The 12,844-nt window shown below is 39.5% G+C and overlaps 2 pseudogenes across 1 annotated transcript in view; one reads left to right on the forward strand and one right to left on the reverse strand.

The window, feature by feature from the left end:
- Nucleotides 1-10,361, forward strand: part of HERC2P2 (HERC2 pseudogene 2) — a 95,995-nt pseudogene extending 85,634 nt beyond the window's left edge. Inside the window, exons 34-35 of the transcript NR_002824.3 lie at nucleotides 6,874-6,921; nucleotides 9,473-10,361. The product of NR_002824.3 is annotated as an HERC2 pseudogene 2 (transcript). The remainder of the gene's footprint in view (nucleotides 1-6,873; nucleotides 6,922-9,472) is intronic.
- On the reverse strand, nucleotides 4,497-7,330 carry LOC100419579 (HECT and RLD domain containing E3 ubiquitin protein ligase 2 pseudogene; annotated as a pseudogene).
- Nucleotides 10,362-12,844: the final 2,483 nt, after the last annotated feature.

Here is a 12,844-nt window from a genome sequence, read left to right on the forward strand (position 1 = left end):
TCTTTGTGAGATAGAGTCTCACTCTGTTGCCCAGGCTGGAGTGCAGTGGCACAATCTTGGCTCACTGCAACCTCCACCTCCTGGGTTCAAGCAGTTCTCCTGTCTCAGCCTGCTGAGCAGCTGGGATTACAGGCCGGTGCCACCATGCTCAGCTAACTTTTCTACTTTTTTTTTTTAATTATTATTTTTTTGAGACAGAGTCTCACTCTGTCTATAAGGAGTGTATGTGTTATATACATTTTTAGTTTTAGTAGTTACTGAAGATATTAATTATAACATCTATTTTTGACTGATTTAAATCTATTATTATTTAGTAAAGTCTCCTCCTAAACAATGCAAAGACCTTAGTTCTCTTTAACATCATTTATCTTCATTCTGATTTATATGTTCTTAACATATTTTAATTTTTAATTTTTTTTTTTTTTGAGACGGAGTCTCACTCTGTCGCCCTGGCTGGAGTGCAGTGGCGCGATCCTGGCTCACTGCAACTGACACCTCCCGGGCTCAAGCGATTCTCCTGCATCAGCCTCCTGAGTAGCTGGGATTATAGGCTCCTGCCACCACGCCTGGCTAATTTTTGTATTTTTAGTGGAGGTGAGATTTCACCATGCTGGCCAGGCTGCTCTTGAACTCCTGACCTCAGGCGATCCACCCACCTCAGTCTCCCAAAGTGCTGGGGTTATGTGCATGAGCCACCACGTCCAGCCAAAATTTTATACATTTTATACAAATATATATCTAACAGAACTATCGAAGACATTCTTTTATGCACATAGAAAATGTTCATAAAATCCAGTCATATGCTAAGTGGGTCATATGCTCAAACAAAATTTCAAAAAAAGTCAAAGGATCAGCCAGGCGCAGTGACTCATGCCTGTTTTTGTTTTTGTTTTTGTTTTTGTTTTTTGAGACAGAGTCTCGCTCTGTCACCCAGGCTGGAGTGCAGTGGCGCGTGATCTCAGCTCACTGCAAGCTCCGCCTCCTGGGTTCTCGCCATTCCTCCCGCCTCAGCCTCCCGAGTAGCTGGGACTACAGACGCATGCCACCATGCCAAGCTAATTTTTCGTATTTTTAATAGAGATGGGGCTTCACCGTGTTAGCCAAGATGGTCTCGATCTCCTGACCTCATGATCCATGCCTGTAATCCCAGCACTTTGGGAGGCCGAGGCGGGTGAATCAGGAGTTCAGGAGATCGAGACCATCCTGGCTAACGCGGTGAAACCCTGTCTCTACTAAAAGTACAAAAAATTAGCCGGTGTGTTGGCGGGCACCTGTAGTCCCAACTACTTGGGAGGCTGAGGCGGGAGAATGGCGTGAACCCAGGAGGCGGAGCTTGCAGTGAGCCGAGATCGTGCCACTGCACTCCAGCCTGGGCGACAGAACAAGACTACGTCTCAAAAAACAAAAAAAGCAAAAAAACAAGTCAAAGGATCAAACAATACATGCAGGGCATATGACGATTTTATGTAGTCAATATTGATTTAGATTTTTCTGCATACTTTGTAATTTCTCTCCACTTTTTTCTTCTTCTTTAATTTTCCATCTATACTGTTTTTCTCCTGCCTGAAAATCCCCTTAATATTTTTAAAAATGTGTCTTTGTTGGTTACAAATTATCTATTTTTGTATGTCTGAAAATGTCTTTATTTCTCCTTTATTTTTGAAAAGTCTTTTTGCTAGGTGTTTTCTTTCAGCACTTTAAAAATAGTATTCCATTGCAATTTGGTTTATATTATTTCTCCTGAAGTTGGATGGAAGTCTAATTGTGGTTCATTTTATTTTTCCTTCGTCTGCTTTTCAGAGAGTCTTTTTGTTTTCATCTGGCACAGGTTTTACATGTGCATGGAGATGTTTATCTTTCTTGGGGTTGGTAGGGCTTCTGGGGCATGATATCTGTTGTCTGTTTTGGAAAATTCTGTCTTTCAGTATTTCTTCACATTTTGCCTCTGCTCTATTCTCTTTTCTATCTTTTTGGGGGGACTCTTCTTTCACTTGTGTTAGGCCTAACCTCTGTCCTGCAGATCTTTTACCTTCTTGTTATGTTTTCTAAACTTTTGCTCCTCAGTTCTTCATTCCAGATATTTTTACTTTCTCTTCAGCTGAGTTCAGTGTGTTCTAAACTTACTCATTAAGTTCTTAATTTTAAATATTGGATTTATCAGTTCTAGTCTTTCTATTTTATTTTCAGTAGTTTTTGGTTCTCTGCTGAAATATTATCTTTTTGAACACAGTAAGCATATTTATTATACTAAAGTCTGTGTCTTCTAACTCCAATATATGGAGCCCTTGTGGGTCTGTTTCTCTCCTATCATTTCTGGTCATTTTTAGTCGCTTTTTTTGCCTCTTCATGTGTCATTATGTACTGGACACCTAACAAATAAAGAGAAACACTATGTTCATGGGTTAGAAGACTGAATACTGTGAATCCATCCTTGCACATTGACTTACAGAATTAATGCAATCCACATCAAAATCCCAAGCAAGCGGTTTTATAAAAACTGACAAGCTCATTTTAAGTCATATGGAAATGTAAAGGGCCTGCAACAGCCAAAATATATTTGAAAAAGAACAAAGCTAAAAAACTGTTGCAACCTGAGTTCAGGCCTTTTATAAAGCTGTAGTAATCAAGACAATGTGGCATTGCCACCAAAATACACAAATAAATCAATGAAACAGTACTGGGAGTCCAGAAATAGATCCATACATCCATAGACAACTGATTTCTGACAAAGGCAAAAGGCAATTCAGTAGGAAAAGCGTAGTTTTTCAACAAATACAACTGAAACAACTGGACAATCATGCCCAAAAAAGCCTTTCAATCTGAACCTCCCACTATATATAAAATTTAATCAACTGGTCATAGATATACCTGTCTAAAACTATAAAACTTCTATAACAGAACATAGAAAGACAAACTTCATAATCTTGAGGCAAAGGTTTTGTAGTCACAACATCAAAAGTACACTCTACAAAAGAATAAAATGAATAAACTAGGCTTCATCAAAATTAAAAACTTCTAATCTTTAAGATTCACCTGTGAAGAGAATAAAATGACAAGCCACACTGACAGAAAATACTAGCAAATTCTATATTAGGCAAAGGACTTGTAACTCAGAATATATAAGGAACTCTCAAACCAGTAAGAAAACAACCTATTTAAATATGGGAAAAGACTTGAACAGACATTCACCAAAAAAGGTATGTGATTTGTAAATAAGCAAGATGCTTGAGATCATTAGTTATTAGGGAAATGCAGATTAAAACCACAACGAGATACCACTATACATCTGTCAGTATAACTAAAATTAAAGACTGAATGTATCAAGGGTTGACAAAAATGTGGAGGATGTGGACCTCTGGAACATCCACTTTGCAAAACAGTATGTAGCGATCTTAAGAAGCTAGACATACACGTACCATATGATCCAACCACTCCTCTCTTAGAAGTTTACCCAAGAGAATTTCAAGTGGATGTCCATACACAAACTTGTATGGAAATGTCCATTAGCAATTTCACTTGCATAGTCAAAAACTGGAAACAGCCCAAACATTCATCAACAGAAAAATGGATGAACAAATTGCATTTGTTTATCTTAAGATACTATTCAACAATTTAAAAGAATAAACTATTGATACATGCAACGTAAGTGAATCTCAAAATTATTATGCTGAGTGGAAAAAGTAAGATTTTTAAAAAGAGTATATGCTGTATGATTCTACTTATAGTAAGCTGTAAAACATGCAAACTGGCCTGCCACAGTGGCTCCTGCCCATAATCCCAGCACTTTGGGAGGCTGAGGTGGGAGGATCACTTGAGCCCAGGAGGTGGAAGCTGCAGTGAGCCAAGATCGTGCCACTGCACTCCAGCCTGGGCAACAGAGTGAGACCCTGTCTACAAAAAAAAGAAAACAAACAAATAAAACACCCACAAAACAACAACAACAAAAAGCAGACATGCAAACTGATCTCTAGTGACAGAAATTAAATTGGTGCATACGGCAGGAAGGAGGGAGTTAAAAGCAAAAGGGAGGGGTACAGAGGGCCAGAGAGAAACGCTGGGGTAGTGTATGAGTTCATTATCTTTGATTGTGCTGATGCTTTCATGGATCATACATATTCCAAAGTCGATCAAAATGCATACTTTAAATAGGTGCAGTTTATTATATGTCAATTATAACTGAATAAAGCTGTTAAAAAATACAAAAGAGCCCAGTACAGTGCCTGTATCTCTCAGGCAGTTATTAGGAGTCCTGTTTACACACAAGTACAGCGCTGTGAATTTACCTGATCATAAACACAAGAATCAGCAACATACTTTCTTCTAAAACTTTCATTCCAGCATGTATAAATCACATGAGCGCACACCATAATTCTTCTGTGTCTTTAGATTCATAATGTAGTTAACGCAGCACTACAACCTCTAATGTGTTGGCACAATTAAATAAATGTAAAGTTGCTGTAACCTACAGAAAAATCTCAGGATACAAATCTGTGTTACCTAAATAGGAAGCACCTAAAGGGTCTCTTGCAGTCTGGAAGAGGACGGGCTCGTGGACAGAGGGCATGGCCACATCCACAGTTGTCCACGCCACACTGTGGGATGACCCGCAAGCCACACACATGATCTTCTGGCCTTCTAAGCCTTGCACGAGTGTGGGCTTCCTGTTAACCGTGGTCGTGCCATTGCCCTGCTGGCCGTGGTCGTTGTCACCCCAAGCATACACCTGTTTACGAGGAGAAAAAAGCTTATAATTTTTCAACATTTCAGGACATTTTCTTTAATGTAATTTTTACTTCAAAATGCTTAACGTGTATGCCATGGTATTTGAAAGAATTGAGTTCTTAAAAGTAAAAGCAAACCATTTCACAATCTTACAAAATGGCATCGGTGTACTATAATTCTGAAGAAAATCTAACCATGAAAATGCCAATAACCATAAAAGGAGTATTTTCTTAATATTAATCAAATTAATTCTGCTTTGTTGCAAGTCACACAGAAGGTCCTCTCTTCAACTAAGTGCAATAATTTTTTCCCTTTTACTTTGCAAAGAAAAATGACCAAAAACAATATGCTCATTTTTCAAGTAAGTAGCTCCTTGGCCTTATAGAATTATAAAGTATAATTCATTTTGACTAAAAAACAGTAATGGTAATTTTGTTTTCATAAATAAAATTTTAAATTGAATATCTACAAGCCGGTCATAGCATATGCTTCTCCAAGCAGAAGAGAGTGTAACACTTGTCAGGCACTAGCTCTGTCTCTAAAATGAGGCATGGGTGCCTCCTCACCAGTTAGCAATTTCCTAAAGCAAAGTCTTGTTAATACCTTGCAGTAGGAGCATCTTCAAGAATAACAATCTTTTGGCCGGGTGCGGTGGCTCACGCCTGTAATCCCAGCACTTTGGGAGGCCGAGGCAGGTGGATCACGAGGTCAGGAGATCGAGACCACGGTGAAACCCCGTCTCTACTAAAAATACAAAAAATTAGCTGGGCGTGGTGGCGGGCGCCTGTAGTCCCAGCTACTCGGGAGGCTGAGGCAGGAGAATGGCATGAACCCAGGAGGCAGAACTTGCAGTGAGCCGAGATCGCGCCACTGCACTCCAGCCTGGGCGACAGAGCGAGACTCTGTCTCAAAAAAAAAAAAAAAAAAAAAGGATAACAATCTTTCCACACACTTTTCACGTGGACTTCAGAGTGGGAACGCCTCTTTTCTGAGGACCCCGCCCCCAACCCCTGCTGCTGAGTAGGCAGATACACCAGCGGGCAAAACGGATGGGTCCCGGCCTCATGGTTCTTCAAGCAGTAAGACTCGGCTGAGTTCATCAACAGCTGTGATTTCAACAGGACGAGGGCCATGTCGTGACCCCCACGTCCCCCAAGTCAGGATGGCACGCCACCCCCAGGCCACCTGCAGCCTTACCTGCCCCGAGTCCGTGACCGCCAGGCAGTGCAGGGCCCCGACAGCCACATGCACGATCTTCTTCCCTCTCAGCCCTTCCACCACCTACAGTTTCCACACGTGCACGTCAGAGCCCTGGCGCAACCTGAAGTAATCCCCCTTTCCCCTGAGAAGGAGGCCCGTGGTGGAGTGTTACAATATAGTTGTGGTCTGACAATGCTATACAAGAAGACACTCATTGTCTCACATCTTTCACAGCCAGCTCAATGACATCACACACAGCACCCAAGGTCTTCGAACTTGTATTCAAAATCATACACCATTAATTCAAATTAACTTATTAAGTCAGCTGGGAAAAACCTTAATACCTTAATACATGTTCTACAATATTTAAGTTACTGTTGTAGGTTTTCATATAGACTGAAAATAAGACACATTACTGCAAACACCTATCCAAAGTCCTATCTGGTATACATCTTTCTCAGAGTGCCAATGTCGGCCAGTAGCAGTGGTTCACGCCTGTAATCCCAGCACTTTGGGAGGCCGAGGCGGGTGGATCACAAGGTCAGGAGATCGAGACCATCCTGGCTAACATGGTGAAACCCTATCTCTACTAAAAACACAAAAAAATTAGCCGGGCATGGTGGCAGACGCCTGTAGTCCCAGCTACTCGGGAGGCTGAGGCAGGAGAATGGCGTGAACCCGGGAGACGGAGCTTGCAGTGAGCTGAGATTGTGCCACTGCATTCCAGCCTGGGCGACAGAGCGAGACTCCATCTCAAATAAATAAATAAATAAATAAATAAATAGTGCCAATGTTATGACCAGAGGCAGCAAGGCCTGACACAGCATCCAAGGCCAGTCTGGGCACCTGCTCATTTGCACATTAATATAATAAGCTTTTACAAGAAATACATGTTAACTTTCTCAGGATCAAAGGATTCAGAAGGCTATTTTGCTCTCATTTTATCCTTAGGCTTCAGCAGAAGAAACACTTCCTATAAATCTCGCCCAAACAGGAAAGGTAAGTGGCCTAAAATTTTTCTAGTATTTTCAAAATGACCCAGTTACAATAGGAAATTTCTTCTTGTACTATTGTCACTAATCCCGACTCAATATCCTTTAAAGGACAAAGATGCATGCATAAGTAAAAATATGACAGGTCACAATCACGCCGGGGTGGTCCTGGGGCGAGGCCCAAGTTCCCTGCACGCGTCGGCACAAGCACGCACACTGTGACGGGGAGGACGTTTACGTACCATGTCCACACCACTCCAGACTTGGTGAGCGCCAGTAGGAACTGAGCTCCACACTCAATCTGGCACACCCCCTGTCCATTTAGTCTCTCAATGTTCTGGGGAATGTTGCAGCCTTCACTTCCGCCCCGGCCCAATTTTCCAAAGTCACCATCACCCCAGGAAAATACCAAACCTAGGTTTAAAAATAGGGAAGGGAAGGGAAGGGAAGGGAAGGGAGAGAAGAAAGGAAAGATAAAGAAAGCCCAACCTCCTTCCAAAATGTCATGAGAATCTTGAGCACATATGGTCCTTGGCATGACCACATGACCTGCAGAGCCCCTGTTATAGAACTCATTTTTATATTTTCCTTAGTATAACAGTTAATATAATATGTCATTTTTGTTAATAGTGTCTTTTTGTCATTTTACTTTTTAAAAGATTTTATTGAAATATACATACAGGAAAGTGCATCTATCATAAGTGTGCAAATTGATGAATTCTAAAATCTTTATTGTACCTGTTTAGCACATAGATTGACACTGAACATAACTAACAACCAGAAATCTCCGTGTACTCCCTTCCTGTAACTACCCCTGCGCCCGACCAAATCACTCTCTTCTAACAGCATAACTTTGTGTGACTAGCTTTTTTAATGTAAAAGAATGAAATCTACAGCATGTATTCATTTGCATCTGGCTTCTGCCACCCAACATTATATTTGTGGGATTCATTTGTACAGTTGCATATTAGTTTGCAGATCCCTCACTCTCATTTCTATATGGTATTATATTGCATAAACGTACCACACTTTATCCAACTACTGTTAAATATTTGTGCATTTTCTACTTGGGGGTGATTTCAAATAGTGCTGCTATGAACATTCTTGTAAATGTCTTTTGGTGAACATATGCAACACATATATGCGTTGTTGTTGGTTCCCAGGAGGGGCATTCCTGGGTCATAAACAATGCGTGTGTTCAGGTTTAGTACAGTATAATGCCAAACAGGTTTCCAAAGTGTTTGTGCCACTTTACATACCTGCCATTATTGAAAAAGAGTTCTGTTTGCTCCACATTGTCACCAATACTTGATATTTTCTGTTTTTTTTTTCTTTTAAACCGTACTAGTGGGTGTGCAGTGATATTGCAATGTGGTTTTAATTTGCATCTTCCTTGTGACAACCTTGATTACTGTAAGCCACTTGGAAATGTGATTTAAATTCATATAAAGATATAGTAGCAAAACGCATACTAGGTTACTTTCGTATCCAGAAAGTTTAGATAGAATGATTTCTATGTAAGCTTTTACTGTGTAGTCTGAGTCCATGAATATTGATTACAAAAAACACATCTGTAGGTGAGTTACAATACCTCACTTATAATTCCAAATTCATGTTGTGTTAGCTCAATATTTTTCAAATAATTTTTGCATGCAATTTTCACCTTCTTTCTGAGTAGTTTCAGGTATTTTGTATGGTTCCAGCAGTCAGTTAGGTTGCCATTGTTTGGAAGCACACATCCACGTATCTGCACCATGATGATATGACACGCCCATACCCCCCATTTCACATTTTGTCAGAAGTGCATAGTTATCACTAACTTTGCCAGTAGAAATGTACTCCCAATTTCCCACGGACTTATCTTGAATAATCTCTCCACTGAAGCATAACAGGTTTTGAATTCTGTTAGAATAGTTGTTTTTACTATCTTTTAATTTTATACAAATTTCAAAGTTACGTAATACTTTTATTTAAAAAGTGAAACAAAGCTTTTCCTCTCCTTTACCCACATGTTAGTCCAGCAGAGGGGGAAAGCATTGGCCCCAGGCCAAAATCATAAACGCTTTCAATTAACTAATAATAATTGCTGGCATGTTGCCATTAAATATTCTTGTCTCATTATCTCTGGTTGCTTTATCAAACCCATAGGTCACTGAAGCCCACTTTTGAGACAAAGACTATTTCTCCCCCAAAAGTCAAGGGAAATATAAAAAATGAAATTAGTGATTAAGAATAGAAGTCAATTAATACAATCATTTTGTCTTAATTATTTAAAGTCCAGTTTTTTCCCTCCAGCAAACCTGAAAATACACTATCCTCCAGCTATCAGAATTATATTGAGATCTACTCACATTTATGATGATGTTCAGAGATTCTCATTGGGAAGGAAAAGGCACACGCTGCGGCGGTCTTGCATGACTCTGTTGTTGTGGAAATTCAATTTGTTCATTGTGTTTTGGGCTCTCTGGGTGGTCAGGGCTGGGCTCTGGGTCCTTGGCAATTCCTCAGGTTCCCAGCACTCCAAAGCCAAGCTCACCTCCTCATCACACACCCTACAGGAGAAGCATTAGGGTGTCCGACTACGTGGGTTTCATAGCTGTGGAAAAGCCAAAGGGGAGACTCCTGAAGAAAGGCGGTGAAGACTGTGAAGAGCGGGTCAGGAAGATGAGCACAGCACTGCTACTCCTGTGGGCACAGGGACAGCATGTCTCCAGCCAGCGCCACCTTGTTTAATACATGGGAACTCACTGAAATTCATTCTGTATTTTGCCCGCAAAGTTTTAAAGCTTTCATCCACAGTCAGGAATTAAACTTATACCAATGAGAGCCTCACACATTCAAGGATGTACTAAGCACTACAGGCCTCACAGAAACAGAGATCCCATCTTGGAGTTTTCAGTACCACATGGGAGATAAAGGGTTTTGAACATGAAATGACAAAAACAACAGCAAGAAGAAAATTCTTGTCCTTTTTCATTACTATCAGACTCAAATAAATGTCTTGGCTCTTACATTACATTCATTCTTCAACCATTGTGGTCTGGCTTCCACTTCCTTCACTTCACCAACATGGCTCTGCCAAAGGAAGCCCGTGATCTCTAGGCCATCACTTTAATTGATCTTTCTACAACATTTATCCTGGTTGTTAAGCCCTCCTTACAACATTCTTCTCTCTTTGTTTTTATAGCTCCATCTCTCCTGCTTCTTTAACTTGATAATGCATACTTGATTTTTCTATTTGTTATTTCATAAACCAATTAATACACAGATAAAATGACTGTATATCAAACCATGTTTGTATAGAAAAAATGGATTTTGGATGCCTCTCATATGTAATTAGTTCTATTAAACATATTAATTGTATTGTTTAATTTGTCAGGTTTTTGACAGAATTTTGTTTACAAGTAATAAAAATTTTATCTCCAATTTTCAATAATTACACCCATTATTTCTGTTTTATGTCTCATTGCATTGATGAGATCTTGCAGAATAATTTTAAAACAGTAGTGGGTATTTTCTGCTTTTAATGGGTATGTCTAGTATTTCATATATTGTTGCTTATAGAACACTATTCAACCAAGACATGTCAAGACTAGTTGTCTCTCAAACCATTAGTATTTATATTATTCCTTTCCAGCTACACTTGTAGGATGTAAAAGACCATTTCCAGGAATATGGAACTGTTTTACTAGGTGGAGGGTATATATAACCATATAATAGTCACAGAAACTACATTAATACTCACATAAATCAAAGCATAAATGACATAGAATCTTGGCAGATTTGCTTAAGGTTAAATGTATAACTCTTATCAGCAGGAGGTGAAAGAATATATTCTTAGATACTTGGCACATTTAGAAAATATAATCTAATATTCTTTTTAAAGAATAGGCCGGGCACGGTGGCTCACACCTGTAATCCCAGCACTTTGGGAGGCCAAGGCGGGCGGATCACGAGGTCAGGAGATCGAGACCATCCTGGCTAACACGGTGAAACCCCGTCTCTACTAAAAATACAAAAAATTAGCTGGGCGCGGTGGCGGGCACCTGTAGTCCCAGCTACTCAGGAGGCTGAGGCAGGAGAACGGCATGAACCCGGGAGGTGGAGCTTGCAGTGAGCCGAGATCGCGCCACTGCACTCCAGCCTGGGCGAAAGAGCGAGACTCTGTCTCAAAAAAAAAAAAAAAAAAGAATAAATAAAACATCATCTACAAGGGAATTACTTGAAATTAAAACAAATGGTAGTCATATATATGGTACTTCATTATTAGGAAGGTGGCTAAAAGCCCATTTAGACATATTCTGCTTTTCTTAAGGAATAATGATCGTTTCATGTTAGGTTATAGCCAGCACAGCACCTCGTGGGGTCATCAGAGGCCTGTGCTATCATTCTCACTAGGAGGGATGGTTAACCCATGTGTTCTAGGACCACAAACTATGCCCCAATCTACTCATCCATCTAGAAAAAAAGGCATGCTTTTAGTTCAACAATTCCAAAGCATCAGTTGGAGGACCAGTGTTGGCTGCATCAGAATCACCTGGGTGTTTGTAATAAATACAGAATCCTGAGCAGGTATTCTGGCATTTCTGTTCATACAGAATCTCCAGGGTCAGGGCCAAGTATGTCTGATGTGTAGCAACAGACGGAAACCATCACTTTAGTTAGCAGAAGGAAGGCACTGAGCAGAGGGTTGAATATAATACATTGGAAAAATATCTTAAAGAATTGGGAAAAAGTAATATATGTGAATATCACATCATCATTATAATAGGAAAAAACAAGGTCCTCAACATTGTCAAAGGTATAAATTCCTAAAACAGGTCAAATTCGTGTTCTCAAAACATTTTCCTGAAAAATGTTACTAGGTGGTATAGGGATAAATAGGTTTGCAAAGTACTGTACCCTCTATATATCTTGTCTCAGAAATTCAGAAAGTGTTAAAGACTCTGAGAAGTCCTGCAGGCAACTTCTTATATTTAATGCAGTATATCTCAAACTCACTTGAGCACACAATACTTTTTTCCCCCGAGGCATATCTATTAAGGTCCTATAGAACAATATTCTTAGGCATACCATTTAGAGATACAATTCTAAAATGATTTTATCAAATATTATATTTCATGGCAAAGTTTTTCCCTATATATTGACATATTCCAACACTTAGTCTTCTTTTTTGCAATATAAATCTTTTCAAGAGGAAATTATAAGCATTGATTAAATGCATCTTAAATTCAAAACCTTAAATAATATTCATCCCAGTATAATTCTTCTTATTGAAATCTATACTTCAAATTGAGTTAGTCCTATAATTTTTCACTTCTAATTAAACCAATTAAAGCAGGGTATGTCTACTGACCTACTTTCCAGAATTTAAAAAATAAACTAGGAAAAAACATCTTCTGAGCTCTGGGATGTTTCCAGAGCTTCATTAAAATAACTTGAAATTTTCATTTGGGTACAGTTTTTGCTTATTTTATGGTTCAAATATGCAGCACAAAAGATGACTGGAAGAGGATTATTGAAGCAAATTTAATAAAAGCAGAGTCTATATGAGGCAGTGCTGCTTCATTGCTGCTTTTTCTGCTTTGAGGATGGCAAACTAGAAAAGCCCTTAGATTAAGTTTTTACTTTACCTAAGACAGCATTAAAGCTGATTAAAAGGTTCCACTGAAATGGCAAAATGGCCATATCTCTAATAAGCGCCAGTATAAAACTTAATCTTAAATTGGGCAGTCCTGGGGAAAAGAATTAGATTTAATTTATACCAATTTGAATTATAGAAGTCAGACTCATAGCAGCCATTGGCTACTTATTCTGTGTGCTAAACTAAATCTCAACTCAGTCCCAGGAGGACACATTTCCTACTACAGGGCAACCCTTTTCTGCCCAGTGATCTTAGGTTCGATTATCTATGAAGGGTAGACCATGTG

The sequence above is a fragment of the Homo sapiens genome, chromosome 15 (assembly GCF_000001405.40).
Source record: "Homo sapiens chromosome 15, GRCh38.p14 Primary Assembly".
Lineage (NCBI taxonomy): Eukaryota > Metazoa > Chordata > Mammalia > Primates > Hominidae > Homo > Homo sapiens.